Source organism: Homo sapiens, chromosome 12 (assembly GCF_000001405.40).
Source record: "Homo sapiens chromosome 12, GRCh38.p14 Primary Assembly".
NCBI lineage: Eukaryota > Metazoa > Chordata > Mammalia > Primates > Hominidae > Homo > Homo sapiens.
In genome coordinates this window covers 101,597,764-101,622,025 of record NC_000012.12, presented here as the reverse complement: position 1 = coordinate 101,622,025, position 24,262 = coordinate 101,597,764, and the positions used below count along the sequence as shown (strand labels likewise).

Genomic DNA, 24,262 nt, shown 5'->3' with positions numbered 1-24,262 from the left:
AGAAGGGCAGTTTACTAAAGCAGAATTTTATTCATCTGTAAGTCATGGGAAAATAGCATTTGTAAGACTGTAAAAATGATTCTTTAAACAACTGAAGTTCCCAGAGAAGAAATTCTAGAAAGTAGGGAAAGAACCCAGTCTTATATTACAAGCCTGGGGTTTTAGGGGAGTACACATAAATACTTCGTAATATGAGTGAGAGACTTGTAACTGAATAAAAAGCTCCAGAGATAGTAGAATGTGTACATTCTTATAATTATCCAAACTCTCTTGGGCATAAAGCAACTCCTACCTATGGTTGATTTTAAATTGCCTTTTAAAATTAATTAAGCAATATAAACTTGAGACAATTGTTGAGATTTAATAATAAAGACCAAAAGCTTATAAAATTAAAATATATGTGACTTGTAAACAAACAGTGAAATACTGATACAATACCTTGTTTGACTGAGACAAATTCATGAATTCCTCAAGCAGAGTAATCAGTTGTAGTACATACTGGTGTTTGTGACCAAAATAACAACAGCAATAAAATATGGGAGACAATAACAATAGCTAACATTAATTCATCATGTTTTGAGGCATTCGGTTAATTTATTGCATTTTCTTAATGAGACGATACATGCCTTCACACTTTGATGCTTATAAAACCATGATTTATCCTACAATAAGTATGTACATTTAATGAATTTTTCTTCCTCAAATCTATTAAATCAATCTTGCCTAATAGTGGCTGTGTCTTTGAATTGAAAAGTGTGGTGACATTAATTTTTAACAAAGTTCATTACAAAGAAGTAATGTAATTAGAATACATAGATTAAGCATGGAGAAATTTTAGTAGATGGCTGATTGACACCTAAAGGTAAATCGTACAAAAATATTTTAGCATGCTAGTAAAAAGCACCAGGGTAATGTTATTGCAGATGTAAAAGAACCTAAATTTTTTTAAAAATCATTTTTTTAAATTTAAAACAAAATCACATAATTCAGGTTGGAACTTCTGCTGACTCACTTCCTCATCTGCCAGTCACATTCATGAAAAAGAAAGACTTCATCTCAGGTTATGTGAGATATTTAATACACACAGGGTTCATTCACGATAGTTTATGTGGTGAATGCCTGGGAAAAGAAAATAAGGTTTTATTTCCCTTTTCACGATTACCAAAAGCAGTAATAAAAAAAGGAAGTAACTTTACCAATTGAAAAGATACAGACTCTAAGCTAATAAGATGTAAAAATAAAATATCAGCACTTAGGCATGGAAATGAGTACAGGTCTTCAAAGTGGCCTCTGATTCTAATGCTGCTGTCACTTTTTGGACCAGCCACAGAACCATTTTCGGAACTTTCCACAGGGCCAGCTGTTGAGGCACAGCAGAAACCTACTCCAATTACCCTATGTTCAGACATAGGATGTTGGATCTTAGTTGACAAAAAAAAAGTATGATCCCACTTGATCACCCACGTTATTCCCTACACATGGCCCTCTGTGACTCTTGTCTGCTTTCAAAACTGAAATCCACCTTCCTCTGTTGATGGTTGTTCTTCCCCATAAAGTGTAACTTGGCTCCAGGAGGGCAGGACCCAGTGCCCAGATCTGTGCCTGGCATGTAGCCAACACTCAGCAAATCTTGCTGAATAAATACGTGCTAGAATAAAAGGCGAATCTTTGGCCCCACTGAGCATACAGAAAAGAATCTATATTTAGTGTTCCATCAATTTGCTACCTATAATTATTATGAAAGAATTCTAAGCCAGGACAGCGTTATTTGTATAAAGGCATTGCCTCCTGGTATGATTCCTCTAAAGGAGATTTGCACATCTAATTTCTGCTATTGCTGTTGGGCTAAACACATTTCTTTATTGTCATCTCTCTTGTTTCAATTCCAGAAGACTTTGCCCAGGTCCCAGGACAAAGTGGTCAGTATTAAGGAACAGGATAGCTGGATGGATAGCCAGATGCAAGCAAGCAAGCAAGCAAACAATCATAAAACCCCGTGCTGGGAAATTGGCTGCTTTCCAGACAGAGACTTTTAGCAAATATGAAAAAGTTGGCAAATCTAATCACAAATACTACTTCTAAGATTAAATCTTCTAGAATCTACTCTCTGTGGCTTCAAAAAGCATTTTCAGAACATTTCTGAGCTGTTGCAGAATGATTCAATCAATCTGGGAATGATGTTAAGGCTGGATTGCGATGAATAATATTCTTAATAGTGACAGATTTGGAGCAATTAATTGAATATATGTCAACCAATTAAATAGAAGACCAGTTAAAGTGCTGAAAATGTACCAAAATCCAGGCAAGACCATTTTCAGTAGCTTTAGGCAAGTTGGTCTTACAGTGGAAATCATCCTTCTGTTCTGCAGCAGTGTCTCATTCTAACCCTCAGTGACTAAGAACATACATAGGATGTTCATCCTCCTACCCAGCACACATGTTGAATGGAAATAAAAATCTATCCAGATTACCATTGAATGGTCAGCAGCTAAGCCAGCATGGAAATTCAACTGCTCATTCATTTTGCAAGTATTCATTAGATGATTGCTATGTGCAGCTCTCTGCCAGATGCTGGAGGGAATAAGATGAGGGGGCCAATGTCAAAAAGCTTACAACCTGTTAGGAAAAGGAGTCAACCATTAATGTGCGATTATGTGGAGACAAGAGTGATTGAATGATGGAGGCAACAGGTCCAAGAGAAATCAGGAGAAAGAAGGGGAGATAAAAGTAAGCCAGGATGGTCAGGAGAAAGCTGTTCAAAGAAGTGAAACCTGAGTTGGATGGTTAAAAAAAAAAAATAGACTGACAGTTGGAGGAGGGAGGGAGAGCAGGAGAGTTCTAGCTCATGCTGGAGAAAAGGTAGGTTGCACCCATCAATCCTGTTTATGCTCGTGCAGGGCTCCTTTCTCAACTGGGGATATCCAAGTAGCAGTAATTATTGTGTCTACTTTTTGCATAGGTATTTTCTCTGTCCTTGATGAAGAGGACTGTATATTTATTATAAACTTCCATTCACTTACCTTCTTTATTTAGGGATGTCACTTTCTATCCCAAATTGATTTGCTTCCTAGGTATGTAAGGCAAATACATATATATATACATGTATTTGCCATTATATAATATATATACAGACACACACACACACACACACACACACACACACACACACACGGCAGTTTTTGTACCTGGGCATGCAACTGCATGTGGTCATGGTTTTGCTTATCTTCTGCAAACGTCAGAAAAATGCTACTAATTTCAAAATGCCCTAGTCATCTAGCCTTGCTCTTTCATCACGCTGTGTTCTCCATAAATAAAAGAGTTTTTGTTGGTTGGTTGACTTTAAGGAAAGACATTTTCTCATTTAAGCATACAAGTATAATATGGTGACTTTTCAAATTAAGGGTCAGGCACAGGCTTTGTTTAAACTTTGACAGCTTGCCCTCTGGGATTACATCATCTGCTCTGTTGGTTGAGCCTTGCAGCCTGGCCCAAACACCTTTCCAAATTTGGAAACAGAGGTGTATGCCCATTGGCCTTGTAGAGAATAATATTACAATAATTTCAGCCAGGATGCCCAAACCTCCTTGAAACCATCCCATGGAAGGAGTTCTAGGAGTTTGCACTGTCTGCATTCCATAAGCAAATAACCTTCAAACTGCGCCCACGTGGCCAGGATTAGTATTCATGTTACTCTCCATGGGAGCCACTGAAGGTCAAGGACAAAGTGAGTATACTAACGTTATGCGTTCATTATGAGAGCATAAGTTCAAGTTAGCTGAAGGAAAGTAATCCAATCTACTGAAAGAAAGAAAAAAGTATTTTACTAATGTATAGGACACAAGAATATCATAGAAATTAGATAATGAAATATGACACATCAAGAACAAAGAGATACTTAACATGGTTTTGAGCAGTGTCCAGGAAAAAGAGAAACTTCTTGTTGCAGTCAGGAAATAGTTATTCCAAAATTTAAACTTTTTTATTCATTATGCAAATAAAAGGTTCACTTTTAAAATGACAATACAAACATATACAGCAAAGCTGTCTAATCCACCTTCATGAAACTTCCCTCTATGAAAGACTAATGCTCCTTAGCTTAAGACAGATGGTCAGTAATGATAATCATTTCTTCCATGGTGAGACAAAGGAATTAGCATTTCATGGAGTAACAGAAGTATATGATTAAGATTATTTTCTAAAATGAGACTATCTCCATATAAAGTAAAAATAGGATAATATTACAGGAATAGTTTCCAGTTCAAGAAGGGGCAACATGTCTTCTTAATGTTATATTGTGTATCTGTAGAAATCATTATATAAATCTACATGAATACATAGTCAGTGTTACAAAGTGAGATGCTAGCCTTCAAAATTATTAGTGAACCCTGGAACAGTTCACACAATAACATGAAAACATTTAATTTAAAAAAAAACCGGGTAATTCAGATAATTTTCCCAATTGATATAATCCTAAGAAGACCAAACACCTCTCTTTCTTAGCATGCATGTCGAAACTTGGAAACTACCAATTAATTTGCTGGCATCTCAACAAGTGCTTGTGATATTTTTATCATTGTTGTTTTTCTTTTAGAAATACATGTAATGGAAACTTAGCAATGCACCATTTGTCATTATACTGATTGGGACTTGCAGATAAGATGCAAAGGCAGAACGAAAGATAATGCAGAGAAATTCTATGGAGCCACCATGACAATCATTACTGACTTCTTTCTGCTTCTAATTTTGTTGACTTCAGCCTCACTCTCCCTCCCTCCAACTCACCTTTTGCTGGTGTAGTTCCGGCCTCCTTCTCTTTACTTGGTTCTGTGTAGAAAGTACAAGCATATTTTTTAAAGTGCCTTAAAGCATTTTATTGTGTGATGAGCAACGGGGTGGAGAGGGGGAGGGAAGAAATAAATGACAGCAGAACAGGTCATAAATGATACTGAATACTCGTGCTGTACATGAATTATGAATTTAGAAATTATAACTTAGAGCCACACTAAACTTTTAGTGAAAAGCAATTAATCTGATCATTTTTGGAAAAGTACACATAAGAACACTCAATACAGATTTTGTTAAAATGCACTCAACTATACTTGGATCATGTTATATAACATGCTGGAGTAGAATTAGGCAAAACAAATGTGAGCCACTTTATTTTAGACCTCAGCAAGGGACTGACTTTTTAAAGAAAAGTCAGTTTGCCCCATGTAATGATTCCAAGAGTTTGGACTTCTAGATTTTCTAGTAAAGTACAAAATATGTAATTGTGTGCAGTGTATGTTGCTTCAAAGAAAATGTTTCAGTGTCCATGTGAATCTTCTGGATTGGGTTTAGTGGCAATAAATGCAAAACAAGAGCAGTAACATCAGATTCTACCAGTTGAGACCATCTAGTTTGCATTTCTCTGTGTTTGGGATCATATTAGTTTAGACCTGCAAATGGTATCTGACTTATGGAATCAGTAAGAAAAGAATTGTTTCAAGAATGCATTCTCTTTTTTCGGACTGATGAATGGAGATTCAAATCTCAGTTAACTAAGAAGGACAATTTTAGCAGAATTTGGGAGGAGACATTTGAGCAACAGGAAGTCAATATTGTGCAATGAATATGAAATATGACATACAAAGGAAACGATAGTGGCTCAGTGGCAGTAACTGATCTGAAAAACAGAAGGGAAAGGTTTGTTTATAATGGCCAGTAGGTTCTCAGTGTACTCAATGTTGGTCAAAGTACATTTGTTATGGGCAAGGAGAAAACATACCAAGGAACAGGAAGATCCTAAGAAGAATGTCACACATCTACACTAGTTTCAAGATCAAGATCTAAAGAAAATAAATCTGAGCTTTCCCGTTTGAACTCATATGGCACTGAGCCAGTTTTCGTTCATTTCGACACATAGTAATACTTCTCTATACTGTTTAGGGTTTGAGTGTGTGAATCTAGTATTCTTAGCTGGACAAAGGGCCTCTTGTGAGCAGCTAGATTTCTCAAACTGCCCTCCTGAAAAACAATCTCTGCTTGCGCCCAAGAGTTTGAGGCTGCGGTGAGCTGTGATGGTGCCACTGCGCTCCAGCTTGGATAACAGAGCAAGACCCTGTCTCAAGAAAGAGAAAGAAAAGAAAAAAGAAAACAAAGAAAAAAGAAAAACGATCTCCAGGGAGGAAGAGGAAGAGCTTTATAATTGCCTCATAAGTTTTTGTGTGAAAAGATGATTAGAAACTGAGACCTTCTCCAAACTCCTGCTTTCACCTAAGCTGGACCAGGTCTACAGTCACCTGCTGGCTTCATAACACATTGCCAGTTTAAGCAACTCACAAGTAATCACATACTGCTTGGTGTGGGGGGGCGGGGGGGGGGCGGGGGGTTCTTATAATATTGCCTAATGTTTTAATGTTTTGGCTGCATTTTATTTAATTGTTTCCCAGGCTGTATTCTATTTTCTACTTGGCTGCAAACAAACTGAATACAGGGAGATGTTTTCTATGTAGAGTTCCCCACTACATCTGGTACAATATGCTTGCACCTAGCTATCAATACGTACATGATAGGTATGTCTGAATCCCTCTGAAGGGTTAGGTCAGAGTTGTGCACAGGGTAAATACCTAGTGAATAATTATTGAGTGGGATGCCAGTTTCTCATCCTTTTCAAGGAGGAAGAGGGATGAGGAAGGCCACTTTGGAGTCTTTATGGGAAAATGCACATGATTTTGGTTGCTTCCATCTTGGGGCTATTTGGCTGATAAATGACTCTGAAGAGCCATGTTGGGAGTTTAAGCCACATTGAGCTTTCAATCTTTTAATCTTTTAATTTTCTTTTCTTCTTTAGGTGTATGTGGACATAAAAACAAGCTTCATATATTGTGTGTCATAGGGGACTGCCCTACCTGCCAAGGGTCTCACTGGATCTCTGTACTCATTTCCTGTTGCCAGCTGGTGGACAATATGGTGCTAAGAACTCAAGAAGTTGGTCCTCACGTTGAACCTCAGAGGTCACCAAACCTTTCTGGATAGCTGCTAGGGAGTTTCTGGAGGTGCTCAATAGTGACATATGTCAAGTTGAGAAGGGACAGCTGATCTTCCAGGGTAGAGATGGATCCACTCCCCACTCTCATAAAGAAGATGTGGGTTTGTTTGACCTTCACTATATAGGAAAAAGCCTCACAAATTCTTCAGCCCCTTGGATGGAGGCTCAGCCTCCACACTGTAAAATGCGGACATAATAACTTTTACATAATTTGAAAGGTTTCATAAGAATTGTCCCCCTAATATATATGAAGTGCCATCCAAATTAGATTAACACAAGAGGATTATATAAACACAGTGTATTATTTTTATTATTCTCAACTTATCACAATGGTCACCATCCAACTTCTCAGTAGGAGTTAGGTTAAAGCTCACAGCTCACAGCACCCGTGGAGGCCAAATCATGCTGGGATGGACCCTCTGTATTTGCAGCCCAAACGTGTGTGAGTGAGTGTTTTTACTCACCTTCCGGGGGTGGGGCTGGGGCTGGCACTTCATTTTCTAGAAATGGAAAGAGTCATGGAAATGTCAGGCTCATTTATCACAGAGAAGAACTGCTTTCTACAGCCCCAGGCAGCTTCTGCTGCAGGCAGCCATCTCACCTGTGTGTACTCACAAGAGGGATGGAGGAGGGAAACACATTCTCTCTTCTCTCTCTCTCTCTCTCTCTCACACACACACACACACCCTACTGCATCAAGAGGCCCAAGACATACATGCTGCCATTTATGTGTGGTATATAGATTTCCAGGAGGTGGCATGGTGTAGTGATGGAAAGATAAAGGTAGAATGGGGATCCGAGTGTCCTTGCCACTTAGTTATCCCCTCCAGAGGCAGGCCGGGCATTTACTTGTGCTGAGCCTGTTTTCCTGCCTCTAGAGAAATGGCCGCATCTTATATGGGCAGGACTGCTGTTAGGATGAAGTGAAACACAATGGGTAGCAAGCATATGGTGAGCATATCCCGTAGAGTCTAAGGTAAGGTCGGTGCAGAAATGAGACCCCTTTTTCCCAGAAAGCAAGAGCACCACTGCATCGCCAACATTGTTCTGCCTGCATGAGAGACACTTTCTGAAAGCAGATGACATGAAAGTCCTCTGGCTTTGCAGTGCTTTGTTGTTGTTGTTTTACAAGGACGGTGCAATTCACTGGGAAACAGAATTAAGCCCTCTCAGAGTTGTTTCTGGAAGCATACGTGCTTGGAGTAGATTCCCACCTACACCTATCCAAAATTTTCCAGGCTCTGGTTTTGAGGTTTGGTTTTGGTTTACCTGGCTTTCGATGTCTGGTTATTACAGAGCAGTCTGGCTATGAAGTCTGACAAAGAAACTTCTGTTAAAGAACATACTATTTCCAAGTAGGTAAAGGCATCCACATGAACAAAGAGCATAGCATTTCCCGTGCCAAATCCCTGTGGATGCCCAGAATTGGGAATTAGTGACATGTGAGTATCACTCACTCATGAACCACCTGCTTCATCTCCAGGACAAGAAGAGGCAGTTAATGAAGGTGATCGCTTCTAAAATTATCTTCTACTTGATTACTAAATAAAATATAAAGATAACAAAGTTTTTGTATTATAGGCACATTGTGGAATCCTGGGAGCCTTTGTCAGCATATGGGATTTTCCACATTTTTTTCCACAAGTGACTCTTGTTAAGCAGGGCGGACGATGCCCCATAACAAGCAGTTTGGCTGAACAGTCACCACTATGTGTAGGCCAAATGCCCCGTTCTAGTCTAGGAAGGCTGGAATGAGCATAGAAAAATGAATGGATTGCACCGTAACAGAAATCAAGAAAACAGTAATGCAGGCCTGCCAGGATGCAATCATGTCTTTTTCCATCACTGATTTTGGGGCTAGTATAAACTCCAATTTATTGTTTTTTAAAAACTTTTATTCAGATGGCCATAAATAAGTTTATTACTATTTACTAGTGAGGGAGAAGGATATATATAACCAAAAGACAAAAAACATAAACTTATAGATGGACAGAAGAAAACGTGGCAGGATGTGATGTAATTTGCAGATACAGTGAAAACACAAATGTCCCTTGGATGGCATTGTCAGAAATGTTTTTGTTTCTTCACTACATCATGGAAAGAATCACTAGGGTTATCGTCAACCAAAACATGAAACTGTCAGTCAAAGCATTTTATTTTCAGAGATCTGAGTGCAGAAATGGAAATCTAATATTGTCCTCTTGGCTTTGAATAAGTTGTTGCAGCACACGGATATCAGAATACTGAGAGCGAGATGCCAATTTCTTTGACACGCTATCTTTCAGACTGGGCCATTGCCATGCCATGCCCAAGGACTTCTTCCTGGCTCTGTCTACAGACAAGTTTCTCATCCCTCCAGTCTCCTTTCTCCACAGCTGCAGAAGTTATTTATCCTACAACTGTGTTTCATCCCATTATTCTACTTGAAAGTATTTCTATTATTATTTGGTTAGGTCTACACTCCCCAGGTTCGCATTCAAAGCCGTTGTTCATGGGCACTTCTTTCTCTCCCTTCTCTTACTACGTCTCAGTGGCCTCTCTGTTCTAGAGCCATTTCTGTTCCCCTTCTGACCTTTCTGCCACTGTTCTTCCCAGCAGACCTCCTGCTTTTTCTGAACATGTGATGGAGTCAGACTTAGGTCTGAATCCTGACTCTGCCTTATTCATTGTGCAATCATGGGCAATTCCTTAATCTCTAACAGCCTTGGGCTCTTCATCTGTGAAATAAGAATAACAAGATAAATAACCTCTTAGGGTGCCAATTCTATGTAAGATGCATAGGGTAGTTCCTGCTATGTAGAAAGAGCTCTATAATTGAACTGTTACCATTACTATCATTTGGCAATCTTTATCCTTATTGCCAATATTTTTCTCAAGGCTCTCAGAGCTGATTATTCTTTTTTTTTTTTCTTTTTTTTTTGAGATGGAGTCTCGCTCTGTCGCCAGGCTGGAGTGCAGTGGCGTGACCTTGGCTCACTGCAACGTCCACCTCCTGGGTTCAAGCAATTCTCCTGCCTCAGCCTCCCGAGTAGCTGGGACTATAGGTGCATGCCACCATGTCCAGCTAATTTTTGTATTTTTAGTAGAGACAGGGTTTCACCATGTTGGCCAGGATGGTCTCGATCTCTTGACCTTGTGATCCACCTGCCTCAGCCTCCCAAAATGCTGGGATTACAGGCGTGAGCCACTGTGCCCGGCCAGAGCTGATTATTCTATTCTGTTCTTCTTCCTTATTCTTTTGCATTCTGGACTACATCATAACACATTCTCTTTTCACTATGACTTAATTATTTTCTAATAGTCTCTGTATATTTATGTTTCTGTTTCTCCCCATCTAAACAAAGCCAGGGATCTTTCCTTCCTTTCTTATCTCCCTGGTATCTCATTTTATTGCTGAAAACACATTAAATGCATAGAGAATTGATACAAAAGAATTAAGGAGGGCTTCTTTTGGTGGTTGGACATCTATTAAATTGATCATACTTGTTTAGCATCTATGTGACCAATTCCCATTTTTTAAGGGTAACTGTAGTTGCTTAAAATCCAACTAAGGCCAATGGTGAATTCTAATCAAATACGTAAAAGAGAATCATCTTGGGCACTAAATCTGTAAATGTTCCCTAAATGTACATTCTCCATTTCCATTTTGTCTGTAGCCCCCATGGGCTATGTAACAGACCAAAAATCAAAATGATAATTTAAAGGGCTTAATTCAACTTCCACTGAATCCACAAAATATTGGTCATGAATAGCCAACTCTATCAGAGAGAATGGCAGAAACATTATAGGATATTAGGACTGCTAGGACCGTTGTGGGATGGTTGCAGGGAGTAGAAATAGGAAAATGTATACCGGCCTGTAAATAGGCAGATCCAGAACTTTTTCTTCTCAAAATTACAGAAACCTCTTTACTTTATAGCCAGTGAAGGAGTAAATACATTGCAACCCCTTATTAGAACCCACTGCATGTAGGACCTAGTGCATATTAATCCTTATAATCCTTACAACTCTGTGAAATCAGTACTATGATTATCTCCATTTTGCAAGTGGGAACTGAGACTCTTTGAGATCCCACAGCCTAGGGAGTGTGGAACCAGGCTGTGATCCAGGCTTGCTTGACTCAGAGCCTGGGCTCTGCAGCCCGGGCCTGCACTTCCTTTCCCTGCTACCTATGTTGGACAAGGCAGAGGAGGACTGGTGGACTTCTCAGCGCAATTACACCATTTTCCCCACTGAATTGCTTGGTCTTATTCTCAAGACCACATAACCTCATATGGATGTTGCCCTCCCTATTTGTAGGAGTGGGGTGCACATCGATTTCCTCAAGTATGAGAGAAATAATAGCACAGCCTAACTCAGGGGTTATTGGCAGGAATGAATGCATTAACAGGGGTAGAGAACATGGCAAGTGTCACATAGACTTTAACTTTTCATGGCTTTTATCATTATGATCATCATTTTTACTCGGACACACCTACGAAAAGACACTTATGTCTTCCTCCACATGCTGCCTGCTAAGGATATGCCTTATTTCTAGGTCTGTGAGCTGCATGTGTTAAAACGTGTTTGCATTTGGGATGGGGACTGAGGAAGCATCTGGGGACTGGACAGAAGAGGTGAGTCCCTCATACCCCTACTGTAAAGTGGGAATAGTAGTTGAGCTCGATGCAATTTTTATGCATTATAGTTTTTACACTGCAGATAAGTAGATCAATCAACGATTCAATTAATCAATCATGGTGAGACAGAAATGATCAGAGAAAATAGGACCTTAGTCCTTTTCAGAGCATTTGAAACAGAGAATTCCAGTTGTCTTAAACCTGGAAACTGGGAAACCAAGGAGTGGTAAAGGCCAAGCAGCACATGACTTAAATGGAAAATGAAGTGTTGCAGGTAAGTCTCAGAGCCCCCAAGGTGTCCCCATTTACCTTGAAGGAACTGCTCATGCATCTCTCTCGCTCTAATTCATATGTTTGTCTCTGACAGGTCCTGTCATGGCTAGCTTTGCCCGCTTCTCTAAAAATAATTTACATGTTCCTAAAATTCATTGGCTGCCTCTGTAACATTCATTCATTAACAGCAATTTCCACTGTACCTCACTGAATAGGGACCATAGGCAGGAGCATCCTTGCAACCTAAATTCATTGAACTCCCATTATGAATTTAACAAGGTCAAAGAGGTTATAAAAGTGGTTACAATATGATAAGATACTTGTGTTTAAGAAATTCACAGGTAAATGAATTGCCTTTTAGTATCAATTGAGTCATTGAACCAACTCACTCTGCACTCTTAAAACATTCAAGACTCACTACTTCCAGAAATCCTCTAGAACTTCTCAAACTGCAGTATGCGTATTAATCACTTAGGGATCTGATCAAACTGCAGATTCTGACTCTTGGAGTCTGCAGCAGTAGGGTTCATGATTCTGAATTTCAAGGCTGCATGGTGGCTCGGGAGGTCAAGGTGGGAGGATCGCTTGAGCCCAGGTGTTTGAGACCTACCTGGGCAACGTAATGAAATCCTGTCTTCATAAAAAAACATTTTACATTAGCTGGTGCTTCCCAAGTCCCAGCGACTTGGGAGGCTGAGGTGGGAGGATCACTTAAGCCCAGGAGGTGGAGGCTGCAGTGAGTCAAGATTGCACCACTATACTCCAGCTGGGGTGACAGAGCAAGACCCCATCTCCAGAAAAAAATTTTTTTTTAATTTTAAAACTAAAAAGATTCTGCATTTTTACAAGGCTCCCAGGTGATGCTGCTGGTCCACAACCCACACTTTGAGTAACAAGGCTCAGCACACCCCCTAAATATCACCCGTTCCACTCCCTTTTCAAATGTGAGTGGGAACCCTAAAGGGTTTACAGTAGATGGGGACTTTTCTTCTCCCTTTGATCACAAGCTTCTTGAGGACAAGGCCCTTCTCCTTCTCCTTTTCAGATTCCACACAGCAGGTGCTCCATAAATATAGTTGACTGGCAGGCTGTTCCTCCCTGCACAAAAGCCGCTTCTCCTTGCTGCCAAGAAATCCATAACCGTCCCCTGGCATTCCGTGGGCAGCTTTCTTCATCTGTGTTACCCACAAGGAACACTATGTCTTTCATTGGTTCCCCTCCCGCTGGCCAAGGCTCCAGGGGCATTCACCCAGCTCCATCATTTACATTTCTTCTTACTGTCAACACATGTCTTCCATTTCTTAACAAGGGCAGGAGAGCAATTAGGGCTAGAGTTTTGACTCTCAGGAATATTACACCCCTCACCTTTCTAAGGAATCCCCCGCTTTTAAAATCGGGGCTCCCCAAAACGGCAAAGCAACTTGTGTCGAGGAACCTGTCCCACCAGTTTCTTAGCAAATAACACTCAGTCAATCACACCAACTGTTGTCAACAAGGTTAGCTGTGTTGCAATGGTCGGGAGGCACCCACCTTTGGCAAGCTCTCTAAATCATAAACAAGCAAACCGATATTTATTGAGGTGAGGTCCTGCTGTACTTCTGCTTATTCAAAAGCCAAAGGGCAAAGTTCTGTGGAACATTCTTGCTAGGTAAATACAGTTGGTTTTTTGTTCTCCTTTCTTTGTCCTCTCACACAATATCTTTTTTAGAAAACATGCTAACAGGACTAAAGAAGCATATTTTAAAACTTTTTGAATAAAAAGGAAAAACAAGGATACTTTTTGAAAAAAATAAGCCCAAGGGGATATTTTAAGGGACAACCTAAAAATGAACTAGTTTGTGAACCAACAACTAAAGCTAGCCCCCTCTTTCCTGGGCAAGGGCGGCTGTTCTTTGATCCTTTCTAATGAACATATACAGACTTTCTCTCCCTCTGCAGCACTGAAATGCTTTCAAAGGGGTAGATCTATTTATGGTGGATTTTTCCTATGGTCACCTACTGTAAAAAGCACAGGTATGCCACCAATGGCATGCCTGCACAGCCTGTGCCAAGGCATTCTAATTGACGGGCACTGGTGGCAGCTATGAAATAGACAGCCCCATATGTGGCCTTTGTGCTGCTGCAGAAACACTAGGGACCCAGTAACTCCATAAATGGCTTGGCCCTCTCCAATGGAGTCCATTTCTATTTTCAATGATCAAGGGTTTCATGGCCAGTAACTTAAAGGGGAAAAAAAGAAATCTTACGTCTTAAAATTAATTAACCTGTCTCTTTTTATATGTCTGCGTCTATACACATAAAACAAAACAAAACACAACAAAACACCCAGTTCTCTTCTTCCCGTGGGCTGTCTCAAATATTACATTATTTGACCTACTTAACTATCTTATGGGCCCTTATATACCATTTAATTTAGCTTTTTTATAGCATGGAGAGCAAAATTATATCATATGAATATATTATATAGGCATAAAAAAGACAGAAGAAGACACAATAACAGTTATCATTAAATGTTATGATTCTAGTTCTGTTTTTGTGGCTTTCTGTCACTTTCTAGGGGAAAATTTTTTAAAAATAAAAATATTCTTTAGAAATTTGAGGCATAAGAGAAAATTGTATGCTATTCCTGATTATCGTTTCTTATTCTCAAAGTAAAATTCTAGCTTTGAAATAGAACATGTGAAGGCTTTGTGTTTAGTAAACATCATGATGAATAAGGAAGGGTCTACCTGGCCAACTCTTGTACTGTCATTTTTGGTGGTATAGCAAATTATCTTTCTTTTTAGATTAAATATGTAATAAACACTATCAGGTGTCTCCCCTCTTGATGGTGGGGTCTGACACAATATGCATACTCCAACCTGGACCTCATATGCCCAGACACGAGCACAATGGAAGCTCCCATAGCATAAAATATTGCTTTCATGGGGACATTCATAATGCTTAGAGATGTTTGATTCTGTTAATCATAAGTGTACCCCATGGCCGGGCGCAGTGGCTCTCGCCTATGATCTCAGCACTTTGGGGGGCAGATCGAATCGCTTGAGCTCAGGAGTTCACGAGTAGCCTGTGCAACATGGCAAAACCACATCTCTACCAAAAATACAAGAAATTAGTCGGGCATGGTGATGTGTGCCTGTGGTCCCAGCTACTTTGGAGGCTGAGGTGGGAAGATTGCTTGAGCTGGGTAGGCGAAGGTTGCAGTGAGTCAAGATTGCACCACTGCACTCCAGCCTGAGTGACAGACTCAAACAAAACAAAACAAAGAAACAAAAAACAGTGTACCCCCCCAAAATCAGCAAATATAAATGACAGTGTATTTTATTGGCCAAATTGCTTATGTAGCAGAGATGAAGAATTTGGACAAAAATCAATGTTTAATTCAACATTTTCACAGTTACTTGCTTATTTTGTTCCCCACTCTATTCATTATAGGCATTATGGGTCTGGATATTTTATACTTTGGGATTTAACAGAATTACATACTTTTAAAAGAAGTAGGCTGGGCATGGTGGCTCAAGCCTGTAATCCCATCACTTTAGGAGACTGGGGTGGGTGGCTTGCTTGAGCTCAGGAGTTCAAGACCAGGCCGGGCAATGTAGTGAGACCCTGTCTCTATACCAAAAAAAAAAAAAAATACTAAATTGATTTATATTAGTGGTTCTCAAAGTACAGTCTGGGATCTTCAGGAGCTGCCTAGGTAGGGAGTTTACCAGGTCAAAATGATTTTCCTAATAGTAATGCTAAGACATTATTTGCCTTTTTCACTCATATTCTCTAACAAATAGACAGTGAAGTTTTCCAGAGGATACATAATGTGTAATGATATCAATGTTCTGACAGCTAATAGAATTGTTTGTGCATTCTTGTGTGTGTGTGTGTGTGTGTGTGTGTGTGTGTTTCTTTTTTGAGAAGAAAGGTCTCATTCTGTCACCCAGGCTGGAGTGCAGTGGCGTGATCTCGGCTTACTGCAGCCTCGATCTCCCCAGGCTCAGATGATCTTCCCAGCTCAGCCTCCTGAGTAGCTGGGTCTACAGGCATGTACCATGCCTGACTAATTTTTGTATTTTTAGTAGAGACGAAGTTTCGCCATGTTTCTCAGGCTGGTCTCGAACTCCTGGGCTCAAGTGATCTGCCCGCCTCAGCCTTCCAAAGTGCTTGGATTACAGGCATAAGTCACCACACTTGGCTGTATTCTTGTATTTTAAACGTTATCAATTTTACTTTTATTTATTTATTTTGAGACACAGTTTTGCTCTTGTTGCCCAGGCTGGAGGGCAATGGCATGATCTCGGCTCAGTACAACCTCTGCCTCCCAGGTTCAAGAGATTCTCCTGCCTCAGCCTCCTGAGTAGCTGGAATTACACGGGTCCACCACCACGCTCAGCTAATTTTTTGTATTTTTAGTAGAGACAAGGTTTCACCATGTTGGCCAGGCTGGTCTCAAACTCCTGACCTCAGGTGATCCACCTGCCTCTGCTTCCCTGAGTGCTGAGTTTATAGGCATGAGCCACCATGCCCAACCAATTTTAATTTTTAATTCAGTAAATATATGACACACTAATACAATATTTACTGTATTCCAAATTAAAGTTAGTGTGTATAATACACTAGTTATGCACATAAACAAATGATCTTTAGTTTATTCAATAATTGTTAAGGGTGCAAAGGGATCTGAGACCAAAAGGTTTGAACCACTGGTTTTGAATTTATTGCAAATCTCTTTGGAAAAAGATTTTGTGCATGTTATTTTTAAAACAAACTCAGGTCATATATATCATATACATCTGCAGCTTTGATAAAATGAATGAATCAGTCAAAATAAAAACCTTACATTGATTTTGAAGCAATAACTCATTTTCCTAAGTGCACCATAATAGAGACAAAAGGGCAATAGTGTCTAGTAACACCTACCCTATGCAGAATTCAGCTATCTAGCAACTTACCTAACAGCTTCTGACCACCCAAATAAAAGGGCCTCTGAAGGGCCTCTGCATTTATCTCAAGCTCCTACGTTCCAGGCACTAAGAGTTTCTGTGTTTTCCTCATGGAAGAAGGCCCTAGCTCCTCAGTAAACCCAGGGCCTGGGACTTGGGAAAGGTAAGCAGGGTGCCTGAGGAGCAAAATTTAAGGAGGTCACTTAAGGGGCTGAACCTGCATTTTGGTGACCCAGAAAGTCAGTGCCTTCTTAAATGTTGTGCCTTAGGTGGTGCTAAACTCTACTCAGCCAGATTAATTACCTGGAATGGCGTCTATAATAAAGGACAAAGGGGAGTGAGGGGAACAGTTTCATATGCTGACTGACAAGAGTACTAAAGAAGACAGCACACTTCTAGGAGGGATAAAGTAGGAAAGCTAAGAAAAATTGGAAAGAAATTCAAAATACAAATCAATATGAGTCCATTTTTCAAAAGAGCAAATAATTTGGGCCCTCAGGGTGTCACATGCTACTAATAACTGATATCTATAATTTAAGACAAATTATATCCACTGTACTTTATTTTTTAAAGCAAGGAGTAATATATTACATTTTAAGAATGTTTCTATTCAAACTGGTGGAAAAAATAAGGCTCTGAGGTTATATAACAAAATTAACCTTTAGCTGTGCAGAGAATCCAGCTATTCAGAATGATTCAATCAATTTAATCCATATTTATTTACTATGGTCGAATGTTGCCAAAGACTGTACTGTACTCTAATGTTCTGAATAGATGAAGTCTAATTGTACCTTGATCATGTAAATATTCAATGACTCATTATTCAACCTTTGGAATTTCCCTGAATCTACAGGGTTTTTTTTCCTCCCCTAGTCAATTCATTCTTTTGTCCTTCTAATTATGCAAGTTTCATCTCAGGATGTCATTTCACACAGGAAGAGGATTAAAATATGGTCCTTATTACATAGCAACAAATAGCTTCTCATTGTTAACATGGGGCTGGGGGAAAATTGCTAAGATCTGAGGACTTGCCTTCCTCACTACTCTTACCATGTTTTAAAGAATCAAATGGGGTGTGTTTTGCAGGGGAAGATTTACTCAGATTGAAGGAGCTTAAAATTTTAGCATAGGTCAAAAAGAAATTATTGCAAAAGCAATTTGAATTGTTAACAGTTTCCTCCTTTACTGTGTCTTTTTTGGGGATCTTGAATCAGTTATTATTGTTATTATTATTTTGAGACAGAGTCTCACTCTGCCACCCAGGCAGGAGTGCAGTGGCATGATCATGGCTCATTGCAGCCTCCTGGGCTCAAGTGAATCTCCTGCTTCAGCCTCCCAAGTAGCTGGGACTACAGGTGTACACCACCACATCCAGATAATTTTTGTATTTTTTCATGCTGTTTCACCATGTTGCTTGGGCTGGTCTCAAACCCCTGGGCTTAAGCAATTCTCTGGCCTTGGCCTCCCAAAATGCTGGGATTACAGGCATGAGCCATTGTACCTGATCTTGTATCACTTATTTATGTGGCTATAGGGTTATAGGATAAATTTCTTAAAGGCCTTGCTCCAAACTGTTGCTGGACCTCACATTGGGTGACTTTTTAAAAATAGAGGAAGAAGAGTCCTGACGCCAGGTGGGGTCATAAAAATAAAATTCCACCGCAATAAACACAGTGACACTCAATCAATCACCCACCACATCCATATGTGGTCATGGAGAGTTCTTTATGTGGTCATCTCAGGAAAGCGCAGACTGAGGAAGACCCTATCCACCAAAAAGCACCCCTGATAAGAGAGAGAAATCTTCTTTTTTTTTTTTTTGAGACGGAGTTTCACTCTTGTTGCCCAGGTTGGAGTGCAATGGCGCGATCTTGGCTCACCACAACCTCCGTTCTCCCAGGTTCAAGTGATTCTCCTGCCTCAGCCTCCTGAGTAGCTGGGATTACAGGCATGCGCCACCATGCCCTGCTAATTTTGTATTTTTAGTAGAGATGGGGTTTTTCCATGTTGGTCAGGCTGGTCTCAAACTCCCGACCTCAGGTGATCCTCCCACCTCAGCCTCCCAAAGTGCTGGGATTATAGGCATGAGCCACCACGCCTGGCCAGGGAGAGAAATTGTAAAGTCCCACAAACCCAAGACTTATAACCCTTGGAGACAGACATAGATATTGTTCAACTCTGTAGGGTAACTCTTTCATCTAAGTGGGAAAGGCCATGTCCCCACAAGAACAGTGAAGAAACAACCCAACCGTTATCACCTTATGCTGACAACTACAGACCCCCGAATTGGACATGGCTCATTTCAGTAAGAACACAACAGAGGTCATGGAGTATAGACCTTTTATTTGATCTGAGCTTCTATGGGTGAAAGCGAAGATGTATCACCACAAGTAAAAGAAGGAAATATAGTGGTGGGAATGATGGTTATGACTATCATAGCAGCTTTCTTGGCGTGTATTATAAATATTACACTAGTGAGGAGGTGAGCAGTGGTTGTTACATCCCTTATGTTGAGGGAAATGCCATCAGTTTATGTGAAATATGAGGCATTTAATACCTTGTGCCAGACAAGATTTCTGAGTTTACTGCTTTAGGAGGAAAATGCTTGAAATCTTTCCATATGTTAGGCCCTGTTCTAAGCACTTTACCTGTCCGGGCATGGTGGCTCATGCCTGTAATCCCAGCACTTTGGGAGGCCGAGGCAGGTGGATCACTTGAGGTCAGGAGTTTGAGACCAGCCTGGCCAATATGTTGAAACCCTATCTCTACCAAAAAAATACAAAAATTAGCTGGGCGTGGTGGCGCATGCCTGTAACCCCAGCTACTCAGGAGGCTGAGGTAGGAGAATTGCTTGAACCAGGGAGGTGAAGGTTGCAGTGAGCCGAGATCATGCCACTGCACTCTGACCTGGGCGACAGAGCAAGACTCCATCTCAAATAAAAAATAAAATAAGATAAAATAAGCACTTTACCTGGTGTATTTCAGTTAATTCTTACTGAGACCCAAAGAGTTGATACTGTTTTATTCACATACAGATGAGGAAACAGAGGCATACAAAGTGTAAGTAATTCAGTCTATGGTGCAGCTGGAATTTGAGCTGTCTAGAATGTTCTACAAATAGTATAATTTTTTTTATGTCACCATGTTTAATAATGCATAATATTTAAGATGCATAAAGAAAAAGCCAAGACACATACTGTGTGCATAACAACCCTAAAGACATCTAACTCTAAACATGACAAAATGTAGAATTAAAAAGGACACATTTTGAGTTTTAAGTAGAGCATTCTGTTCCAAGATTCATTAAAATTTTTAGAAGGCAAACGATATCACCAGATGCAAGCAAAGCAATTTATAAAGAGTATTTAGGAAAGATTTGGACAATTTTAGAGAAGAAGAATACTTACCAAAATAGCTAAATACACATCAAAAAAAAAGAATAGAACAAAATCATAAGATCTAACATTTGACATATTATTAAATGTAATTTTAGACGCTGCCCTGATGTGCCAAATTGGCCTAAAAAGGATTCCTAAGGGAGTATAAAAGGGCAAGTCTTATCAAAGTGGATTTAGACTTGAAAGGCATAATGAAAGTCAGATTACAGTTAGCTTTTTGTGAACTCATTATAGAAAGAGAAATAAGTGTGAGATTGAATGATTCTGGTCTCCGCCTCTGCCAAATCAATCAATTCATGCCCCAATCTGATGGGACCTAAAAGTTTACTCTGAAAATGTACGTTAAAGCCCATAAATACTCTGTCCCATGAATGGGAACATCTTGAAATTTGGCCTGTGGTCCATCTTTGGGCTGTCTAAAACAAACATACTCTTTGTAAATTAAAACTGAGCCTATCCACACAGAGCAGAATTACGACAAGACAGTATGATCACTTTGACTTTGGGGGGGCTGTCTTTGTAAAAAGCTGCAAGGACAGAAGCCCTCTTCTTATCCAGTTATGAGATAATTTGCATACATGTAGAAAATTAAGTGACAAAGTCTTTTCTTCTTTTTCACAGTTTGGCTTTCCTTAACTGGTATGCTCTCAAATTTTAGGAAACCCCTCATGAATAAACAGTAGCTACTTCATGATTAACCTAACTCAGAACACTAATTCAGCTACTACCTTTCTGTGTATTTATTCAGTTTCCCCAGGATGCAGTACTTTGAACAAACCATGGATTCCAGAAAAGACATCTGTTTCCATCAAGAACTAACATGGAATAATAACAAAGAAGATGTGGCCACATGCTCTCAGGTACACACATGAAATTAAAATTTCCATACTTATGTTTGATTGCTAGAACTTTAATCCTGTTCTTTATCATCTAACACACTTAAGTATGTCTAGAGATGAAGTTTAGAATTACCACAGAACATACTGGCAGCCAAGAGTATTTTGTGTCTCTTAATATAGTTTTCATAGACTAATTAAGGAGCAGTGAAGATAAAAATAGTCATTATTAATTATAATCAAAATTCTTCTCTGTGTCCACAAACAGCCTAAAAATAATTTTTAAATAAAACAATTGCAATAATTTTAAATAAAAGTAACAAAAATGCTTCCTTGGACTGTAAAAACAATAGCAATAATTACACAGCAATCTCCTCTCACAACCATACAAAATTGAAAAGAAGAATGTATTTGTTTACAAAAGTATTGCAAAAATGTCATTTTGTATTTATTCAAGTTTTTAAAGAGACCACTTATTTATTTGTTTTTGTGTCCAAGCATTTTTTAAAAGCAACTTCAGTCTGGGTAGTTGACTTCAACATTCATGTTTGATTCGGGGATACTTTGAAATTGCTGTTAAAAAGGAAACTCTATGAATTGTGTGTGTATACAGAGCCTAAAAAAAAAAAAAAGTTTCAAGGCTGTGTCTCATGGCCAAAATAAAGTGAGTCATTGAGAGCATAAAGGATTGTAAGTTCTTCATGTTTTCCACCCTCCTGGATTCCTTAGACCAGCTAGTGAGTCTAACTTCCACCTTTGACCAGTCCACAGTCTCCCTTACTCCTGACTTCACTGTTTGAAAGGCCTGGGAACAAGAGGGAATTTCTTTAGATTTACTGGGTGAGAAGTAAGGATACAACTTGTTTTTCCAAAGTCTTTTTAAAGTGATATATTTAGGGCGCTTCAGAGGAAAGAATTGGCCAGTCCTTTATTTATCTTCCTAACAGGTGCAGTCGGAGCAGTCATAAAAGCAGGCTACTGAAAAAGAAGGATTCTGCCAAGTATTAAGCCCCTCTAGCACGCATTTGCCCTAGGGTATTCCTTCTTACAACACAGAGCTCAAATATATGCCATGAATCTCCAGCACAGCATGGTGGTTTTTCTCAGGAGGAAAAAATATGATGGCATTCGTTCATACAACTTCTTTATTTTCAATTGAAATCATCAGCTTGGCCTCGATGAACCATTTGAAGTCAAAAGGGAAACAATTGCCCTTGATAAACTATCTTTCCTCCTCCCCTATTCCTTTCTCTTAGTTTTCTGCATAAATTATTAACCTTTCCCCAATTTGAGGTAAGGATAATATTTGTATATAAGATGACTTTCCAAAGACAAATTGATTTCGGTGTTTGAAATAGGCCATTCACTCTCTTGCAGGTAGAAACTGAAGGTCAAAGAAGAGATATGAGAAGGAGTTTTCCCATCAAGGGAGGTCCTTTTCTGATGGATGACTAAGCCCTGAGAAATGCTTAGAAATAGGCAAGAGGGGATGAATGCTGCTCTACATTCAGGTAGCTTTTTGGCTTGGCAAAACTTTAAAATGTGATGAAATCTCTAGAGAGCAAGAAAAAAAAGATACAGAAATGGAAAAACCCTTATGGACCCCAACAACAACAACAACAACAAAACTGTTCTCTATTACCATGGTCCCATCTATTCCTATTGAAATGTAGACCAAGATGGATAAGATGAATATTGTATGTTGACACAGCAAAATAATCTGCAGTAACAAAGCCATGCCTTTGCTTCCTAAAGTTATCAGAATGGCACCTTAAAATTATGGTCATAAAGGAACCTGTGATTGGCCATACGTTTGAGTTTTCAAGAAGAGATCTTACACGGAACATGAGAAAACTACAGTGACTCTCTTGAGATTTTTCGAATGACACACAAGCACCAAAGAGGAACTTTTGCCTTTTCGGACAAGTTAAGTACATTAAATATAATAAGGTCTGATAAATCAGAAACAAAAAGTGAAATTCATGTTAAGGCCTCAACTCAGTGTTTTAGAAGAGAATTTTTCTGGGTTTTATAGTATCTGACAGTTAATAGGCCAGGCACAGTGGCTCACACCTGTAGTCTCAGCACTTTAGAAGACAGAGACAAGTGGATCTCTTGAGCCCAGGAGTTCGAGAACAGCCTGGGCAATATTGTGAGGCCCCCATCTCTACTAAAAATAACAAAATCAGCTATTAGCTGGGCATGATGGCATGCATCTGTGGTCCTAGCTACCGGGGAGGCTGAGGTGGGAGGATTGCTTGAGCCTGGGAGGCAGAGTTTGCAGTGAGCCATGATTGCACCACTGCATTCCAGCCTGGGTGACAGAATGAGACCTTTTCTCAAAAAGATAAAAAATAAATAAAAAATTAAAGGAATCCAGTTAACAGTTGTCGCAGGATGTTAAAGAATCAGGCTTTATGGTTTTAATCATTACATATTCCAGAGGTAAAATTCTGAGGAAATCATTTTTATGGGTTTAACAGCCATTCATACTATTCTTTAATGAACAGAGATTCTGCCACGGAAGAAAGGCTATTGCAATTGTCTAGTTTGAGGTTGATAAAATTTCTTTTTGACTGGAAAAGAGAAATTTCCAGTGAAAGGTGATTTCTTGGCCGGGCACAGTGGCTCATGCCTGTAATCCCAGCACTCTGGGAGGCAGAGGCAGGTGGACCACCTGAGGTCAGCGGTTCGAGACCAGCCTGGCCAACATGGCGAAACCTCGTCTCTACTAAAAATACAAAAATTAGCTGGGCGTGTTGGTGGGCACCTGTAATCCCAGCTACTTGAGATACTGAGGCACAAGAATCACTTGAACCTGGGAGGCAAAGGCTGCAGTGAGCGGAGACTGTGGCACTGCACTCCAGCCTGGGCCACAGAGTGAGATACTGTCTTAAAAAAAAAAAAAAAAAAAAAGAAAGGTGATTTCTTTACACAGTAGGAACCGGGGGCAATTAACTTTCGGGCACTTACTTGTACTCAATTAATAATTGATATATAAATGAATGTATCAAAGGCATCCTGGGAGATCCCCACAAATCTGAAACTGCCTACAACATCCTCCCAATTTGATCGGAATAACTTAATTGTACTAGGCCTTAGGTTCTGTAAGAATCCAAAGTGGTGTAAGGTAAGTTTTATCTGGAATAGACAGTACAAATAACATAGT

General features: G+C 39.7%; 1 protein-coding gene and 1 long non-coding RNA gene across 33 annotated transcripts in view; one reads left to right on the top strand and one right to left on the bottom strand.

Moving 5' to 3' along the window:
* MYBPC1 (myosin binding protein C1) overlaps nucleotides 1-24,262 on the bottom strand; it is a 100,871-nt gene that overhangs the window by 73,816 nt on the left and 2,793 nt on the right. For 22 of the 31 annotated variants that reach the window (XM_017019316.2, XM_006719406.5, XM_006719410.5 and 19 more), the window contains exons 2-3: nucleotides 7,495-7,530; nucleotides 4,783-4,824 (exon numbers count right to left, since the gene is read on the bottom strand). The exons of 8 other annotated variants lie outside the window; for them this stretch is intronic. In XM_017019316.2, the coding sequence (XP_016874805.1) occupies nucleotides 4,783-4,824; nucleotides 7,495-7,530 (78 nt within the window). The remainder of the gene's footprint in view (nucleotides 1-4,782; nucleotides 4,825-7,494; nucleotides 7,531-24,262) is intronic. One more of the 31 variants, NM_001254720.3, reaches the window with a different exon arrangement.
* Nucleotides 6,242-23,472, top strand: LOC105369938 (uncharacterized). Of its 2 annotated transcripts, XR_007063421.1 has the most exons (6): nucleotides 6,242-6,323; nucleotides 6,833-7,472; nucleotides 11,568-11,646; nucleotides 21,006-21,117; nucleotides 22,471-22,604; nucleotides 22,849-23,209. It is a non-coding gene; the product is annotated as an uncharacterized LOC105369938 (long non-coding RNA). The 2 variants fall into 2 exon arrangements; XR_001749279.2 differs by having other exon boundaries at nucleotides 22,471-23,472.